The sequence below is a fragment of the Homo sapiens genome, chromosome 5 (genome assembly GCF_000001405.40).
Source record: "Homo sapiens chromosome 5, GRCh38.p14 Primary Assembly".
NCBI classification, from domain to species: Eukaryota; Metazoa; Chordata; class Mammalia; order Primates; family Hominidae; genus Homo; species Homo sapiens.
In genome coordinates this window covers 35,982,895-36,002,774 of record NC_000005.10, presented here as the reverse complement: position 1 = coordinate 36,002,774, position 19,880 = coordinate 35,982,895, and the positions used below count along the sequence as shown (strand labels likewise).

Sequence of the window (19,880 nt, the reverse complement as noted above, 5' to 3'; positions counted from 1 at the left end):
GGAGTTCAAGACCAGTCTGGCTAATATGGTGAAACACATCTCTACTGAACATACAAAAAAAAAATAAGCTGGTTATGGTGGCGGGCACCTGATATTCCAGGTACTTGGGAGGCTGAGACAGGAGAATCTCTTGAACCTAGGAGGCAGAGGTTGCAATGAGTCACTGCACTCCAGCCCGGGCAACAGAGGGAGACCCTATCTTAAAAAAAAGTAAAGGGAATGGAAAATACATGGATATATCTAAGCAAGCATTGGGAATATAAAATTTAAATAATAATATATGATGAATAAAATTATTGTTATATATAATTTGATTGGGTGCAGTAGCTCATGCCTGTAATCCTAGCACTTTGGGAGGCTGAGGCAGGTGGATTGCATAGGCTCAGGAGTTTGAGACCAGCCTGGGAAACATGGTGAAACTCTGTCTCTACAAAAAATACAAATATTAGCCAGGCATGGTGGCATGCACCTGTAGTACTAGCTACTCGGGAGGCTGAGGTGGGAGGATGGCTTGTGCCTGGGAGAGGGACGTTGCAGTGACATGAGATCACGCCATTGCACTCCAGTCTAGGTGACAAAGCCAGATCCTGTCTCAAAATACACACACACACACACACATACACACACACGTGCACACACACACACCCCTTTCACAATATAGTTCATAATAAAGTTTACACATTATATATTCCCATGGTATGATCACTTAGCTTCAATCTTTGTACCACAGATAAGTATTGAAGATGTTAAATGGCATATAGAGGCATTAATAAACTACACCCAAAAAGCCCTAAATGATAGCTGCACGAGTATCTCTTTGCTAAATAATGAAGTCATGTTTATGAGGAAAGCTGTGCTGCCAAATCTTGTGGCTTTAAATATACTTAAGACAGCCCAAGGGGGAACCCGCACTATCATAAAAACTGAATGTTGTGTTTATATTCCAGATGAATCTAAGAACATAACCTAACTTATGACTAATATGAAAACCCAGATAACCAACCTGTCAGATCCAAAACCCTCACTAATCAATTGGTTAAATGGTTGGTTTGAATCTTTGGGAACTTGGTGGCAGAAGCTAAGTGATCATATCATCGGAATACTGAATGTATCCAACAAGATTTAAAGAAAAAAGGCTTGCTGATTTTGGCAGGGTTTGAATTACTCGTCCTTGTACCCAAGCATAACCTAAAAAACATCATCCTAACCACCCTGGAAGTAACCACAGCCATAAATTAGTGCCACACAGCCAATATGTCCCATCTGGAGCTACTCAATAAATACCTAGTCCCTGCACCCAATCAGTGGCATGCCAGTCAGTGTCTCGTAATATGATAATGTGGTCACAGCATTCTCCAGCTATCCACCCCATATCTCCTGTACTTTTTGGCCATAGGTTCTTCGTGTGGTTTCTTTGCTCCCAGTACAAAGAAGCATTTTGGCTGAATTGGCCAAATGAAGGGGTGAGACAGATAAATCCATCCCAAATTTGCATTATCCCATTTTGAAAATGCGCTGTTGTTTGGGGTGTGGTTACCACTTCCTGTTTTTGTTGAGAGGATGCTAAAGTGAGAGCTAATGAGATGATCCTTCCCATTGAAATACTTTTCCTATGTCCCTTGTTCTTAAACATGTTTTTAATGGGCCAATTCTATATATTGTCTTTTGTTATGCCGTTACTAAGGATACCAGACCCTTTCTGTGATGTAATAAATTTTTGGTATTCTATCCAGTCCTGACCTTGGAAGGGGGATACCCACCATGGTAGACCAGAGCCACTGGAAAGAGGCATGAGTCCACATATCCAGTAGGTGTCCTTTTATAATCTGTCTGCATAATCCTGAGCCCATTATAGAAACAGGTTCATTTCATTGGCATCTGTGATTGGCAGTGGCAAGAAGATGTAGGGACATAGGATCAATGATAGCAAGGTTGTGAAATTCACTTCAGTTACTAAAGGATATTAAATCAGATAGTTTAAGTGCCTGTTCTTTCTAAGACAGGAGTTGCTGTTATATCCTATATATAATTGTAATGGACAATAATTGTAATGGTTATTGTACAATAAACACAGGCATTCCTTTGTATACATGCCTGGTCCTGTGTCTTGGGGTTAAACAGTCCACAACAGCTGTCATCTGCTTTTAATCCTGGGTTGAAGATTGATGTTTAGTAAACTGGAGGTAAAGGTCTTTGTTGGGAGTTACAGTCCACTCAGGAGGTTGTGCCTTTCTAAGATGAGAGATGTGAATCCATGAGTCTAAACCCTCTAATTTTGCAGCACATGGATTTGTCAATGGTACCTGGTATGGGACCTTCCATTGTGGTTGAAGGGAATCCTTTATTAGATGTCTTTTCCAATAGACAAAATCTCTGGGTTGCAGATCATGATGAGGCATCTCATCTTCTGGGAGCACACTGTAAAAGGAATTCTTTACTAAATCTTGGCTTTTTGAAGAGATGATAAATGAGTCCCTCACAATATTGCAATATATCTCCCTTGAGAAAAGTTGGATTGGTTATCTTCATTTCCATACACATGGCCTTCCTGTTCTAATTTCATAAGGGGACAGTTAATGTTTACCGAAAGTGGTGGATTGGGGTGTAAGCAGCACTAGGGGGAGTGCTTTGGGCCAGGGGAGGTGAAATGCCTTCGTGAACTTAGATATGTTTTAATTATTCCATTGGGCCTCTCCACCAGGCCTGAGGACCAGGGATGGTAGACACAATGGAAATGTTAACATATGGGCTGAATTTTACAAATATTTTGAATAACCTGGCCAGTAAAATGAGTTCCTCTGTCACTGTGAAGTTCACAGGGGACTCCCCACAATGGCATAATTTTTTTCTAGTAGATTTTTTCCAGCTGCCATAGCTGTTACTTGCCTGCAGGGAAAAGCTTCAACCCAATGGAAAAACATGCAGACCATTACTAAAACATACTTGTAATTTTGAGATGATGGCAGCTGGATAAAATCAATCAATACCTTAAAAGGTCCAGCTGGAAAAGGAAAATGACCCTTGGCCCCATGGAGGGAATTTCCTGGGTTATATTTGGGACAAATGTCACATCAAGAGTAAACTATTTGCCACCATGAAGGACGGTTTCCAGTAATATTTTTTTACACCAGGGTTTCATTTTATCTGGATTCCAATGGGTTTGATTATGAATATATTCCATAAGGGCACCTGATATGCCATTGGAATAATGGATTTATTATTAGGTCCACACTATATTTTAGTTTCGGGAGTCAAGTATTCCCCTGCTTGTTTCCAAGTGGATTTCTCCTTTGATGGAGCTGTGCTCTCAGTTTCTTTCAACATGTTTTTAAGTGTTTCAGGTTTTATGGGCATTTCCTGGATTGGTGCTGGTGGCTTGAATGCTGCTCTTTCAGCTGTGGCATCAGCCAATTGGTTACCCTGATTCTGTGGAGTCTAGTTTTGAGTGACCTGGGATTTTTATAATTGCCAAACGTTTTGGTTTTAGAATAACTCCTAACAGCTCTGACACTTATTGTACATTTTTTTTTTTTTTTTTGAGATGGAGTCTCTCTCTGTGGCCCAGGCTGGAGTGCAGTGGTGTGATCTCGGCTCACTGCAAGCTCCGCCTCCTGGATTCATGCCATTCTCCTGCCTCAGCCTCCCGAGTAGCTGGGAATACAGGCGCCGGCCACCATGCCCGGCTAACTTTTTTGTATTTTTAGTAGAGACGGGGTTTCTCCATGTTAGCCGGGGTGGTCTCAATCTCCTGACCTCCTGATCTGCCTACCTTGGCCTCCGAAAGTGCTGGGATTACAGGCGTGAGCCACCGCGCTCGGCCTATTGTACATTTTTTATGGGTTGCTTTGAGGAGGTTAAATATTCTCTCTCTTTCCATAGCATCCCAAAGTCATGAGCAACCCCAAAATCTGTCAATGTAAATGTTTGAAGCCTTCTCTTTTGCCAGTTGACAAGCTCAAGTCAGTTAGGGCAATCAATTTGGCAACTCCACTTGAGCTGATCTGGCTTAGGGAAGAGGACCGGCTTCAATTACCTCCATAAGGAAACCACAGCATATCCTGCTCTAAAATTTCCATCCTCTCCTCTTAAATAAGATCCACCTGTATACCATTCTATTTTGGCTTTATCCAGTGGCATCTATTGTAGGTCTGCCCTGGGGGTAACAAGTCAGTCAATCATTACAACATAGTCATGAGGGATTTTGTCGAAAAGTCCCAGCAAGAGAGTGGCTGGATTAAGATCACTGTAGTGGGAAATAGTTATATTGGGAGATAATAAAAGCCAAAATTTATAAGAGGCTGACCAGCTGACAGATCTTGAGTATGATGACAGTTTAGAAGGGTATCCAGAGAATGCAGCACAAAAATGGTAAGGGGGTAACCCATAATAATTTCTTCAACAGACTTGTACAGAAGGGCAATTGCTGTGATTGCTGTCATACAAGGAGGCAGCCCTTGAGCCACAGCGTCCAGCTGTTGGCTACAATTGCCAATAGGTCTCTGATAATCACCATGTTTCTGGGTCAGTACTCCAAATGCAGTACCCACAATTTCGTGTGCAAAAAGGGAGAAAGGAAATTTGTAGTTTGGGTTTTCTAAAGCTGAGGCATCAGTTAGAATTTCCTTTATTTGTTGTACAGCTGATTGTCCCTCTGGAGTCCACATGATGGGATCAGGTTGTTCATTTTTTTAGGTAGGCATACAGAGGTTGAGCCATAAGGGAGAAAGTTGGTATCCAGTTTCTGTAATAGCCTGCCAGGCCCCAAAATCCTCTAAGTTGTTTCTTAGTGACAGGCATGGGGAAAGCTGAAATTCCTCTTACACTGTCAGGGTTAATACTCAGTCCTTTGACAGAGATAATATGCCCCTAATACTTAAGTCTCAGTAAATATAGCTGAAGTTTGTCTTTGGACACTTTGTGTCCCTTGATGGCTAACTGTTTGAGTAAATATAGACTATCTTCTTGAGAGGAAGACAGTGTGTCTGAACAAAGGAGAAGATCATGCACATACTGGATGAGTGTTGAGCCCTGGGTAAAAATTAAATCCTCTGGCTGGGTGCTGTGGCTCATGCCTGTAATCCCAGCACTTTGGGAGGCCGAGGTGGGTGGATCACGAGGTCAGGAGTTTGAGACCTGCCTGGCCAACATGGTGAAACCTTGCCTCTACTAAAAATACAAAAGTTAGCCAGGCATAATGGCAGGCGCCTGTAATCCCAGCTACTCTGGAGGCTGAAGTAGGAGAATCACTTGAACCTGGGAGGCGGAGGTTGCAGTGAGGCGAGATCCACCATTGCACTCCAGCTTGGGTGACAGAGTGAGATTCCGTCTCAAAAAAAAAAAAAATTAAATCCTCTAAATCAGCTTTTAATATTTGGGAAAAGTAAGTGAGACTTTCTGTATACTCTTGGGGCATTACTGTCCATGTGTATTGTTGTTCTTTCCAAGTAAAGGCAAATATCCAAATATTGGCTGTCTGGACCTACAGGAATACTAAAGAAGGCACTGCAGAGACCCACAACTGAGAAATACTGGCTGTGTGAGTACAGTTGATAGAAGGGTGTGTGGGTTGGGGACTGCTGGGTGTCTGGGTATTATGACATTGTTTATTGCCCTAGCATCCTGCACAAGACTCCATCTTCTCCTGCTTGGTTTCTTGACAGGGAATATAGGGCTATTGCAGAGGCTTGTGCAGGAAATAATGAGCCCCTTTTTCAGATAATCTTGTGTGGTAGGGACAGTTTCATCTATGGCTCCCTGTCATAGAGGATATTAAGATTGAGTAGGGGTTTCTTTGGGTTTTTCTCTACCTTTATTGGAATGGCTGAGAATATATTCCCTATATCTGTATTTGACTGAGACCATAAGTGGGATGGGACATCCTTTAGCAAGTGCTCTGCTTCTGTTGTTAACAGGAAGATTGGGGAAGCTAAAAGGAGTTTTACTGCTTTCTTCTCTTTATTCCAATGTTCTTTCTTCTCCCCTAATATTTCCTTCTCTGCTCCACTTCACTTTCCTTGTCACAAGATGATGTTTTAACATTATTGGTGCTAAATTGTGGTACATTGTCAGGACAGTTTTTAATTTGGTATTTTTGGTCCCCTGACTCCAATTCTTAAAAAAGTTCACCTTTTGATGAAAAAGAGATATGGGCATTATGGATGTTGAGGAGATCACAGACCAAAAGATTGACAGGGGCCCCAGGGCATATTAGAAATATATGGGACCTACTTAACGTGTCACACTTAGAGCCTGGGTCAAGGGGGTGATTCCATTGAAATGATAAGGTACAAGTTTTGACCTAAAACATGAGATTGTTTTATTAGACACACCCAACATGTTAATTATTTTATTACTCTGAAGAATGAGGTTTCTAAATAAGGTGGGGTTTATCAGAGATATAGTCATGCCTGTGTCAATTAAGGTAGTTGTAAGCTCATGGTTTATTATTATATGAATCTCTCCCAATTTGTTTGTCAGGATAGAATATTTGGAGAAGCGAAACCCCTGCACTTTCTCGGAGCATCCCTAGTCTTCCTGAGTTGCATTCTCCTGCCTTTTCTTTTGTTTCAGCCTAAGGCAGCCTCGCTTAAGGTATCCTCGTCTTTTACAGTAGTAACAGACTGGGAGGCAAGAGTCTTCAGATGGAGAGAGCTTAAAGTCTTTCTGGGGCTGAGAGGTTTGAGAAGTTAATTGCTTTAGCTGTAAATGCATAACCTGGGCAATCTTCTATTTCTCCTTTTTTTTTTTTTTTTGTCATAGCGCAGGATATTTGATCAGCTAAGTTAACTAGTTCATTAGTCTAGTCATGGCCCAATTTGTCATGTGCCATTTTACAAGGGTGGCTAAATCATCATCTAGTCTGTTTAAGAAATTTGCATTTTATAATGTATTATTTTTTATTGTTTTCAAAGCAATCAACTGACATCCTGCAATACTTAAAGTTTTATCAAAATATGTTAAATAATTTAAAACTGATTCATTTGGGTTCTGGCAGCATTGTTGGATTTTATTCCAATTCACAACCCTTTGGAGCACTGAAGGAATAATATTTAACAGAGCAGTCACTCATTCCCGTGACTCTTTATGCCTGTCTTCTGGATTTCGGGGGCTGGTTGTTGGCTCTATTGGGCCTTCAGGGGTTAAATCTGCTATAGGGTCTGACCACTGTGCTTTTTCCAGCCATTCCTTAGCTTTAGCTTCTGAGACCAACATGTAGACTAGCTGATAAAGGTCTGAATGACCTGGGTGATAGGTTCTGATAATGAGCTCATATTTTTGGGCAAAACCAATTGGATCTTTATGGAGGTCAGGAAATTCTTTAACTATGCCTCGTAATTCAGCCTTTGACCAGGGTTGGTAGACAATTGGCAGGGATCCCTTACCTGTTACCGGTTGTTCCTGAAATGGGGCGATCATGAGAGATGTCCCTGTAGGGTCCCTCATTTTCACATCTTCCAGATGAGATGCTGCCATTGGGGCTGTCAGGGAATCATCAGGGAGTGGAGTCTTTGAAGTCAGACTACTGTTGAGTGGTAGACATGGAGGAGAAGGGGGGAACAGATCTGACCTGGGAAGTTCAGAGAGGTCAGGGTAGAGTGAGGGTGGAGGTGGAGGTAGGGGAGATGCCAATAGCTCTTTAAGAGAGATAAAAGATTACAGAGTTCTTGATGAGCATTTCTAAGTTGTTTGTTGGCCTTCAGTCTTCCTCCCTTTTGCTACTCTCCAGATACCATTGAAAGTAGCTCCTCCATTCTGGCTGTTTAGTTTTTGTGCCTGCGTTTTCCATCCTGGTTCACAGTTACACTAATTTGGGCATATCAAAAGATCCCCATTTAGGCCATTGTAACTTAGAATCTGCTTTAGTTATAGTGGTCCACTTGGTTAAATATTTGCATGACTATTTGCCACAATACCCATCCGGAGTTTCTGAAGGGGGAACTTTATGTTCCTCCGGGGTCTTAGAGACCTTATTCCCCATAACTTAGAGTTCCTTTTTGGATTTCACCAAGTTGGGATGTGTGTTGGACCCCAAATGTGCTGCTTGCAGACCTAGCTTTTCAGGGCCATCACAACCTAAACTGGTTCAGTCCACACATGTTGCGGCTACCTGGCATATGTGTCAGGGGCTGAAGGTGTGGGAGGGGTCAGCTCCTTATATGCACCTGTCAGCTGAGATTAGACCCTAAGTATGTTCTCCTGAGGGGGAAACCTATTCAGAGGCACTGAACATCTTAGGGAGTGCTTCTCTCCATCACCCTCATGTGATTCTCAGTCACCTGAGAATGCCACAAAAGGCTGAGAGGAGCAAGGTGCTCCTATTTGTTTTTCAGAGTGGAGAATTCCACCCTCATGAGCTAGAGGGTTTGGAGTTGGTCAAACCTGATAGGGGAAAGAACCGAAACACACACACACACACACACACACACACACACACACACACAAACAAAACAAAACAAAACAAAACTAGAAACAACAAAACCGTTAAGCAAAACTAACAATAATGACACAAATTATATGATTTCTGAGTGCTCTAAGTGTAAGTGGGAAATTAACACCAGCTGGTTGTTGATGCTAATTTTAGTCATTTAAAAGAATTTGTAAGACAGAATCCCAAACCTGTTCTTTACCTAGTGATGGAGGTCCAAGCTGAAGTCTGCTTTCTGCTGATACAAAAGCAGACAGGCTCACCTTCCTTGATGGAAATGAGTGGAAACTCCCACAAAAAAGGAGTTTTTTTTTAAACAGCAAATAAACCTCAGACCGCAAGATCCCTGATACAGAAGCAGATAGGCTCGCCCTCCTTGAAGGAAACAAGTGGAAACTCCCATAAAAAAGGAGCTTTTTGTTTGTTTGTTTGTTTGTTTGTTTAATAACAGCATATAAACCTCAGACTCCTAGATCCCTGAAAAACTTTGGAAGATCAGGGATCCCTGGAGGAAAGAGATCCTGGACTTCAGAAAATTGTCCTATTGGTTTGGGCTATAAGGTGCCCAAGCCGGAACCAAACACGAGAGATGAGAGGCTGCAGGCTGGGTCACTTTCACTCAGGATCCCTCCATGGTTACTAGACGTCAATAGAGAAAAATGATGAGACAAGCCTCAATCATTTTAGGAGATTTATTTGCCAAAGTTAAGGACGCGCACCAGGAGATAGGTCTATGCCTTTCTCCAAAGATGACTTTGAGGGTTCTAAATTTAAAGGGGAGAGGGTGGGATATTGAGAAGTACACAATTTTCATGTAAGGGGTGGGTAGGGAAAAATAGTCATTCATGCCTTTGTCTGGCTCAGTGAATCTGCATTTTTTTTTTTTTGAGACGGAGTCTCGCTCTGTCACCAGGCTTGAGTGCAGTGGCGCGATCTTGGCTCACTGCAACCTCCGCCTCCTGGGTTCCAGCGATTCTCCTGCCTCAGCCTCTCGAGTAGCTGGGATTACAGGCACGTGCTACCACGCCCAGCTAATTTTTGTATTTTTAGGAGAGACGGGATTTCACCATGTTGGCCAGGATGGTCTTAATCTCCTGACCTTGTGATCCACCCGCCTTGGCCTCCAAAAGTGCTGGGATTACAGGCGTGAGCCACCGTGCCTGGCCACCTTGCATTTTTTATATAAGATGATATAAAACAAATGGAGCAGAGAAAAAAAATGCAGGGAATCTGCATTTTTACATAAGATAACATAGACAAAATTGGGCAGATATGCATTTATGTCTGGTGGGCTGGGGGTGACTGCACCTGTAAAAATAAGCTATCAATTTGCATTGCCACGGTGAAATTTTAAGAGCTCACTAGGAATTTCCTTGTGGGCAACATATGGGGGAGGTGTGTAGCTTTCCATCTTGTAGCCATCTTATTTAGGAACCAAAAGGGAGACGCAGGTTTGTGTGACCCAGTTCCAAGCTTGACTTTTCCCTTTGGTCAAATGAGTTTTGTGTCCCCAAATTTAATTTCCTTTCATAATAACATAAAATTCTCCAAAGCAACAGTAACTACTTAATATCATCAAGTTTTGTGCTCATTTTTCTCTCATACTCCTATAATTTTTTAGAATTGGTTTAAATCATACTATTTAATATGTTAACACTTCTAATACCTGACCTTTCATATCTCTTTCCTTGTTTGTTTTCTCTTGGCAGCATTTCTCATGAATATATTATGTATTTCATTTCTTATTGTGTTTAGCCTCTGTCTGTCCAGCAAACATATCTGGTGTAATAATTAGCTGTCAGAATAATTGTTGAATAAATGAAGAGCTTGAAGCTTGATAGCAAGTCCTTTATTTTGCTAATGCATTATAAAAGGTATAAGAATAGATGGACTGGAGTCTTGTGAAGCCTGGTAAACCTTCCCCCCTCCACACTTCTCTTTCCCCTTCTCCCTTTCGCTCCCCCAACCCAGTGTGTGTGTGTGTGAGTGTATGTGTGTGTATGTTTGTGCATCTGTCTGTCTGGCTCTCTCTCTTTCTCATTTCCTCCCTCTCCACAATGAACATGTCTAGGTGAAGGATGCACAAATGTAATGCTTTAAATAAAATGTAATGCTTTAAATTCAGATTAAAAATGTAATACCTGTAGACTGAAGGCAAGAATAGTACAAGCAGAATTCAAGGGCCTATTACAGCCGGTAGATATAATCCATTGAAGGATTTCTCTGTCTGTCTAGAATTGCACTGAAAGCCTTTCCGAAAGTCTTGGTTTGAGGATAGAGAGTACAAAGGTGACCATACCTGGTGTAGTGATCCCTGTCTTTCCCAGGGTTGACCCTTCAAGGGGGCAGAATTACAAGCTATTCTCAGTTTGTGCTTTGGGGAGATTATCAAAATATCCCTAGTTCTATTTTATGATACACATTCAGAATCATAGTCTCTGTGTTCGAATTTCAGTCTCCAGGTACAGACCCGGAGTGACTTTCAGAATTAGAACACTACTAGCTCCTCTTCATGAATGTTATCTTCTAAAGAGGCCCTCAGAGAGGGTAGATCAGTTTCCCTTAGGGATTCCCTCTCAGGGACATCTTGAGCTTGGGACACCAGCTAGAGATTTTCAGCAGGTTTCTGGGGAAAATGGGGGCATGGAGATGGCACTATGAGGTAATAGAGGCAGCTGGAAGGGAAGCAGAGTAACATAAGTTCAGACAGCTCCACGAAAGACAGGTGGTTTCCTTGGGGATGGAGCCTTCATTAACGTGATTTACTGAGGCCCCTGTCATTCCTGGCTCTTAGTAAGGATTTTCCAGATAGGACAGCTGTGATTACGCAGGCAGAGAAAGGTTACAGATCAGGTTACCAACCCCCTCCTACTGACTTCAGGTAGTTTGATAGGGTGAGGGCAGATTATCCCATGGAGCATGCACCCAGGGAGGAGGGGCAGCGGGAAAGAGAACGAACAGAAGGGCGAGAGAATTGGCAGGATCCGTCTCCTACCTCTTCCTAGGCCCACAGCCAGTGCCTTTGGAGTACTGAGGCGCGCACAGAGTCCTTAGCCCGGCGCAGGGCGCGCAGCCCAGGCTGAGATCCGCTGCTTCTGTGGAAGTGAGCATGGTTGGGCAGCGGGTGCTGCTTCTAGTGGCCTTCCTTCTTTCTGGGGTCCTGCTCTCAGAGGCTGCCAAAATCCTGACAATATCTACACTGGGTGAGTGCTTGGCCGGAGAATTCCCAGACAGGCGCGTCCCGGATCCCCGCACTGCCAGGGCTCCAGCGAACGGCGATTGATCAGAGTTATCCAGGCGATTTTCCAGGCTGGGCTTGCGGACCTGGCTGGAGGAGGGAGAAGCCCATCTAGCCGTGGGGCAGAGAGGGGCCTCTATTGCTGAGGTGAGGAAGACAGTTTTTGAGAAAAGACACTCTCCTTTCTTCTCTCTTCTTGTTCAGGACGCGCTCCCCGTCCCGCAGGACTGGGGCCAGAAATTTGAGACCAGGACCAGAGCTTGAGTTCCTGGGCTGCCTTCTCTAGAGCGCAGTGGGACTTTCAGAGGCTCACCCTAAGCTCCATGGGGCCGGGAGGTGCACAGTAGCTTCCAGCAGAAACGGTGGTGACCGTTTCCAGCCTCTTGGAGACCAGGGAAAGGCACTCCTGAGGGCAGCACTGCAAATGTTGTGAAGCTGCATATGGAGCCAGGGTGGCGCAGGCAGGTATTTCATGACTGCAATGCCAGCGGAGTGTTTTTCTCCAGGGGAAACCTGGAGAACTGCCCAGGTCTGAGGAGAGAACCCAGGTCATTCGGATCTTTTGGAGCCTCCTTCCTTTTACCTGTGCCGCTGACCGTTTTTAAGGGATTCATGGGACTGTTAATTCTGCATTTTGGGCCTCAGTTTTATTTTATTTTTATTTCAAAGGAAGTAGAAGATGAAAGAGAATTATATATGAGCTCGATCCCAGGATCGATCTTCCCCAAGACTTTATTTTAATCCGTAGTGGGCGCTAAAGGATTCCTTTTAGATCACGGAGAATCAGGGCTCTTAGAGCTGGAAGGAACCACGGATCATCTAATTTAGTGCCCATTTTGATATTCTGAGAGGGCAACTGAGGGACAGGGAAGTGAGATGCCTTTCTTAAGAGCACATGTGGCCTCCTTAATGTCCCATGAAGAATTGTTTAGGGTTTCTTACCCCAAGACCACGCTCACCACAACTTCCGCTCTGATGCCGTTTTCACTAAGGATTTTCTTTCTTTTTTTTTTTTTTTTTGAGACGGAGTCTTGCTCTGTCGCCCAGGCTGAAGTGCAGTGGCGCCATCTCAACTCACTGCAAGCTCCGCCTCCCGGGTTCACGCCATTCTCCTGCCTCAGCCTCCCGAGTAGCTGGGCTGGGACTACAGGCGCCCGCCACCACGCCCAGCTAATTCTTTTGTATTCTTTTAGTAGAGACGGGGTTTAACCGTGTTAGCCAGGATGGTCTCCATCTCCTGACCTCGTGATCCGCCCGCCTCAATCACTAAGAAACTGTGTTAGTTCATTTGAAGTCTTTTCCCCGCTTTCTGAGTGTTAGTAGCAGTGAAGCAACAGAGCTTCTTAACTTCTTGGAAGTACACAGCCCTCCTTCCTCAGACTTCAAGAGGGAGCTGGTGTCGTTTCTGAATCCAGATGCTGGAATCCAGGTCTTTGCCCCAGAAAGCCATTTGAGTCCTTAAGACCCACTATGAGTGGCTGTTTCTGTGAGGACCCCTTCTTCCTGAGTCCCTGTTCTTACATGGATTAAAATGTGAGCAAGACCGTTGCAGATTTGTACTTTATACATCCCTTGTTGCTTTAGACTATTCAAGTCTGAGTATAAGTAGAGTGAGTCATTCAGACAGCTGCGCACTATTTCTCTACTCCCCTTCCACCTCCATCCTCAAACTCTCGGCATTTTTCCATTAATTTCTCTTCTGATCTTTCTTTTTCTGCTGCTGAGAACCTTAGCTTCCAGTGAAGGGTCTGTGTTGGAACATGCACTAAGAGAAGATATTAACGTGATAAAACTTTTACCTCTTTTGAGAACCAAGCTTCTCTTTCCTTAGCATGGTAGGATTTTCCTAGAATCAGTGATTCTTTAGTTTCTGGTGCAACCAGGATCTATAGGCCCACCCCAAGGGCTCCACAGTTGTCCTCAAATATCTTAATTATAAGTTGTACATTGGCCCAAATTGAGTAATTTCCTGCCAAATACATTTTAATCACAAAGATTTGGGCTCTAAGTAGTAGCTTCTGTCCAATGGCAGTTTCTTAGACTCACCTTGTAACTTCTGTATTTCTGTCTCCTACAGTAGCATACTTTTCCAAAATAGGATGAAAGATAGCTCTGACTGATTGCCCATTAGGAACCCTTCATACTAATGTACACACTACTGTGCTGTATTTTCTATCATTGCAGTTATATTTTGGAGACAATATCTCTCTAAGGCCCCAAGTAACATGCAGCACATACCTTAAGATGAGCAACTTTTACAGGCGTAATCACAGAGAAGCTCATTACACTGACATGGAGTCTTTGAGCCACAAGCGGAAATCTTTGATGGAGGATTGCCACAGGTCCCGAACATAGGACAGGAAGGCTTTGGGTGCATGTACTGGGCATTACCCAAAGTGAGATTGAGGAACAGGAAGCGCTTATCTCCATCTTCTCACTGTTCACATTTCCTCTTCCCTATGCTTTTTCTGCTGAATTTCCATTCCCTCCTGCCTACTCCCATATTGTCATCAGAAACTCTATTTTCATCTTTACAAAAGACATTGTGCATTGTTTCTAGGTGGAAGCCATTACCTACTGTTGGACCGGGTGTCTCAGATTCTTCAAGAGCATGGTCATAATGTGACTATGCTTCATCAGAGTGGAAAGTTTTTGATCCCAGGTATCTTTTTTAAAAACTAATTTTTATATTCTTTTACTCTAAGCAAAAAGTGATAATATATTTTTTATACAGCTGCATAGTAAAAACTTCTTTGAATCTAGTCTTATTTCGGGATGAATAAATGTGTGTGTGGATGTGTGTTCATGTTAAGTATTGGAATTCTTATTGGGTCTGTAGACTAAGACTTCACATAACATACTTCTGTATTTTACCACTTACCTGGGTGTCATTCTATTCTAGACAACTCTCCACACATTATTATTAATTATTTTGAGGAATACTACACAATGGTATGGCTTAAAGTTTTTTTGAACAGAAATGTTTAGCCATATTTCAGGCTTTTATTATGTAAGTATAGAAGTTCTTCTTATCCCACAGGTTACTTTCTATTCTTGAGAGACTTGAAATTTATGAAAGATTTCCCAGGGAGCCTCTTAATTATTAACTAAGATGAGAATATATGATTAACACGACCTCATATGCTTGAAAAATTTGTAGCTATGCATAAGTTGTACATAATGATGTCAGAAGTTTTTAATTGATTCATTTCCTCCAAAGAATTGTAACTAAAATGAAACTCATAAATTCCTGTTGACAGACAAGGAGACGGAGGTCCAGGGAACTGAAAAAATTTGTTTAATGTCAAATGAAAAATTAATAACAGAGTTGGGCGAATCTGGGTCTTCAGGCTCTGGGTTTCTCAATCTGAGGGTTTCTGAAGCTTTGAACAACATCAAAAATTAACCATCTTGGGAGAAAAAGTCTGAGTCATTATAAAATTCTGAAGGTAAACTTCAGGCCTTGTTAATGTTTAGATAGTTTTAATGCACTTTTGATCACCTTCTAGATTGAGTTTTGGAATGTTCACTGAATATCCTTTTTATACATTTTCCTTTGTATCTGCCTTATAGTGTCTGATTTCTCAGCAGTAATATATGGTCATCTTATTTTGGTGGTTCCAATAGCTTTTGACAAACTGCTGAAAGCTATAGACCCACTACTTTAACAGACCATGCACACCAAAATCTACAAATGATTCTGTGGATTCATGAATCTGTTCAGCTTTATCTTTGGGTTCAAGTGTTGGGGTTCAAGTGTTCTAGAGTTTCTTTCAGTATTCCTCAATCTTTGGACATTTCTGCGGTTGAGATGAAATATTCTTCCTTCTAGTTTGCAGTAGTATTTGGGTAGAGCTCTGAAAGTAGGAAAAGCACTTGATTGGGTTGTTTTTGATAGTCTGATAGCCAAATCAGTGTATTGAAATACTTGTACATTTGTTAACTACATGTTTCCATCACTTCCTTATTTAAAACTTTAATAAATAAATGACTTCAGGGATACTGAAGAAGTGTAGGTTTTTTGTGCTCACGCGCAGTATTTTTCCAACTCATAACTGAAATCTCACGTATAGGATAGCAGCCTAAAGGAGAACATAATTATTTGAGGTTCTGACTCTTTTTCCTTTTTAAAAAATTTATACATTTTTATTGCTGCATAATAGATGTACATATTTTCAGGGTGCATGTGATAATACATTTATATAATTTGTAAGGATCAAATCAGTGTAATTGGGATATGCATGACCTTAAATATTTGTTTTTTCTTTATTCTAGAAACATTCAAACTATTCTCTTCTAGCTACTTTGAAACATACAATAGATTATTGTAAACTATAGTCACCCTACTGATCTATCAAACACTAGATCTTATTTCTTCTGTAAAGCTATAGATATGTACTCATTAATCAACCTCTATCCATATCCCCTGTCCACTACCATTTCCGGTCTCTAGTAATCACCAATCTACTCTCTACTTTCATAAGATCCTCTTTTGTAAGCTACTGCATATGGGTGAGAACATTGGATATTTTTCTTTCTATGCTTGGCTTATTTCACTTAATATAATGGCCTCTAATTCAATACATATTGCTGTAAATGACACAATTTCATTATTTTCTATAGCTGAATAATATTTCATTGTGGATTTAAATCACATTTTCTTTATGCATTGTCCACTGATGTGCACTAAGGTTGATTGCTTTACTTTGGTTATTGTAAACAGTGCTGCAATAAACATGGGAATGAAGCTATCTCTTCGATATATTGACTTTTTTTCTTTTGGATTATATATCTAGTAGTGGAATTGCTGCATCATATGGTAGTTCTGTCTTTAGTTTTTTGAGGAATCTTGATAGAGTTTTCCATAGCAGCTGTACTAATTTACAGTGTATGAGGGTTCCCCTTTCTTGACTTTCGTGTCAGCATTCATTATTCCGTTTTTCAGATAAAAGCCATTTTAACTGTGATGAGATGATATCACATTGTGATTTTGATTTGCATTTTTCTGAGGATAAATAATGGTGAACATTTTCTTATGTATCTGTTGGTTATTTTGAGAAATGTCTATTCAGATCTTTTTCCCATTTTTAACTATTTATTTGCTATTAAGTTGTTTGAGCTGTTTATATATTCTGGTTATTAATCCATTGTGAAAAGAATAGTTTGCAATTATTTTCTCCATTCTTTGGGTTGTCTTTTCATTTTGTTGACTGTTTCCTTTGCTGTGCAGAAGCTTTTTGGCTTGATGTAATCCCATTTGTCTATTTTTGCTTTGATTGCCTGTACTTTTGATGTCTAACTAAAAAAGTCTTTGCTGAGACCAATGTCTTGGAATAGTTCCTCAATGTCTTCTTCTAGTAGTTTCATAGTTTTAAGTCTTAGAATTAAGTTTTAAATCCACTCTGACCTTATTTTTTTGTATGGTGAGAGACAGTGGCTTGGTTTTGTTCTTTGCGTATATCCAGTTTTACAGATTCTCCAGCACCATTTATTGTAAAGACTGTCCTTTCCTCATTATATGTTCTTGGCCTCTTTGTTGAAGATAAGGTTGCTATACATGTGTAGGTTTTTATCTGGGCTCTTCTGTTCCATTGGTCTATGTGTCTGTTTTCATGCCAGTACCGTGCTGATTTGGTTACTATACGTTTGCAGTATATTTTGAAGTCATGTAGTTTGATGCCTCTGGCTTTCATCTTTTTGCTCAGGATTGCTTTGGTTACTCAGGATCTTTTATGGTTCCATATACATTTTATAATTTTTTTCTATTTCTGTGAATAATGTCATTGATATTTTGATAATAATTGCATTGAATTTGTACGTTTGCTTTAGGTAGTATTGGCATTTTAACAATATTTATTCTTCTAGTCCATGAACAAGGAATAGCTTTCTATTTATTGTGACCTCTTCAGTTTCTTTCAGTGGAGTTTTATAGTTTTCCATATATATCTTTTACATCTTTTGTTAAATTGATTTCTAGGTATTTTATATTTTTTGTAGCTATTATAAATGGAATTTCTTTTTTTTTTTTTTTTATATTTTATGTTTATTTTCCGGTAAGATTCATCAGTCCATTAATAGTAGATTGGTTCAGTCTAAAAGTTTGTCTCTAACAATCTTTATTAGACACATTATAAATTCTTTCCCAATCTAGAACTTTACATTTGAACTTATAGAATATATCTTAAAGCAGCATTAGTAAAAGTAAGAAGACTTGAAAATATAAACTAGCTTTGAGTAAGATTCAGATTCCACATTTATTGAGTGCCTACGCTGTCAGGGGCTGTGCTAAGTCTTTTAAAATAAAAATTTGTCTAGAATTTATAAAAATTCTGTGAGATTGGCTGGGCGTGGTGGCTCACACCTGTAATCTCAGGACTTTGGGAAGCCGAGGTGGGTGGATCACCTGAGGTCAGGAGTTTGAGACCAGCCTGGCCAACATGGCGAAACCCTGTCTCTACCAAAAATACAAAAATGAGCTGGGTGTGATGGCACATGCTTGTATTCCCAGGTACTCAGGAGGCTGAGGCACGATAAGTACTTGAACTTGGGAGGCAGAGGTTGTAGTGAGCCGAGTTTGCCCCACTGCACTCCAGCCTGGGTGATAGAGCAAGATTCTGTCTCAAAAAAAAAAAAAAAAAATTCTGTGAGATTGAATGGTAGCCCCATTTCACAAAAAGGAAACAAGCTCAGAAAGAATGAGGGTGATGTAATGATTAGATAATGGGCTGCTAAATACCGAGCAATACAGTTAAGTATCACATAACTAGGGATAGAATAATATAAATAAGACTGAGCATCAATTCTCAAGCCATATAAATGGAATTTCTTTATTGCTTTCTTTTTCAGGTTGTTTGCTGTTGGCATATGGAAATGCTACTGGTTTTTGTACTTTGATTTTTTATCATGCAACTTTACTGAATTTGCTTATGAATTCTAATAGTTTTTTGCTAGGGTCTCTAGGTTTTTTAAGTATAAAATCATGTCTTCTGTGAAAAAGGCTAATTTGACTACCTCCTTTCCAATTTGGATGTCTTTATTTATTTCTCTTGCCTAACTTCTCTGTCCAGAACTTCCACTATGATGTTGAATAAAAGTAGTGAAAGTGGGCATCCTTGTCTTATTTCAGATCTTAGAGGAAAGGCTTTCAGTTTTTTGCTATTTGATATGATTTTAGTTGTGGTGTGTCATATATAGCCTTTATGATTTTGAGGTATGTTCCTTCTATACCTAGTTTGTTGAGGGTTTTTTTTTAAATCATAAAAAGGTGTTGAATTTTACTGAATGCTTTTATGCATCTATTGAAATTATCATATGGTTTTTGTTCTTGGTTCTGTTTATGTGATGTATCATGTTTGTTGATTTGCATATGTTGAACTACTCTTGCATCCCTGGGATGAATCCCACTTGATCATGGTGAATGATCTTTTTAATGTGTTGTTGAATTTGTTTTGCTAGTATTTTGTTGAGGATTTTTGCATCTATCTTCATCAGTTATATTGGCCTATAGTGTTTTTTTTTCTTATTATGCCCTTGTCTGATTTTGGTATCAGAGTATGGCTGGCCCTATAGAATGAGTTTGAAAATAGCCCCTGATCTTTAATTGTTTTGAAGTCTTTGAGTAGAATTGGTTTCGTTATTTGGATGTTTGATAGAATTCATCAGTGAATTCATCAGGTTTTGGGCTTTTCTTTAATGAGAGACTCTATTATGGCTTTGATTTCATTCCTCATGATAAGTTTGTTGAGGTTTTCTATTTCTTGATTGCTCAGTCATGGTAGGTTTTACGTGCCTTGGAATTTATACTTTTCTTCTAGTTTTTCCAATTTGTTGGCATATTGTTGTTTGTAATAATATAGAGACTTTTAATGCTTCTTTGTATTTCTGTGGTCTCTGTTGTTATATCTTTTTTTCTGTTTCTGATTTTTTTTTTGGATCTTCTCTTTTTATTTTTTAGTCTGGTGTATTAATCTGTTTTCACATTACTATATAGAACTGCCTGAGACTGCGTAATTTATGAAGAAAAGAGGTGTAATTGACTCACAGTTCCACACGATGTATAGGAAGCATGGCTGGGAGGCCTCAGGAAACTTACAATTGTGGCAGAAGGTGAAGGGAAAGCAAGCACATCTTACCAGGGTGGAGCAGGAGAGAGAGAAGGCAAGGGAGGAGGTGCTACACATTTTCAAACATCCAGATCTCATGAGAACTCAATCACTG

General features: G+C 40.6%; 1 protein-coding gene across 10 annotated transcripts in view; it reads left to right on the top strand.

Annotated features, from left to right (window-relative positions):
• The first annotated feature begins 1,752 nt into the window (after positions 1 to 1,752).
• Positions 1,753 to 19,880, top strand: part of UGT3A1 (UDP glycosyltransferase family 3 member A1) — a 50,017-nt gene continuing 31,889 nt past the window's right edge. For 2 of the 10 annotated variants that reach the window (XM_047416707.1, XM_047416710.1), the window contains exons 1-3: positions 1,753 to 1,807; positions 5,451 to 5,536; positions 14,224 to 14,325. In XM_047416707.1, coding sequence (XP_047272663.1) covers positions 1,791 to 1,807; positions 5,451 to 5,536; positions 14,224 to 14,325 — 205 coding nt within the window. In that variant the 5' untranslated portion in view covers positions 1,753 to 1,790. The other 8 variants (XM_011513959.3, NM_001171873.2, XM_047416708.1 and 5 more) reach the window with 7 other exon arrangements.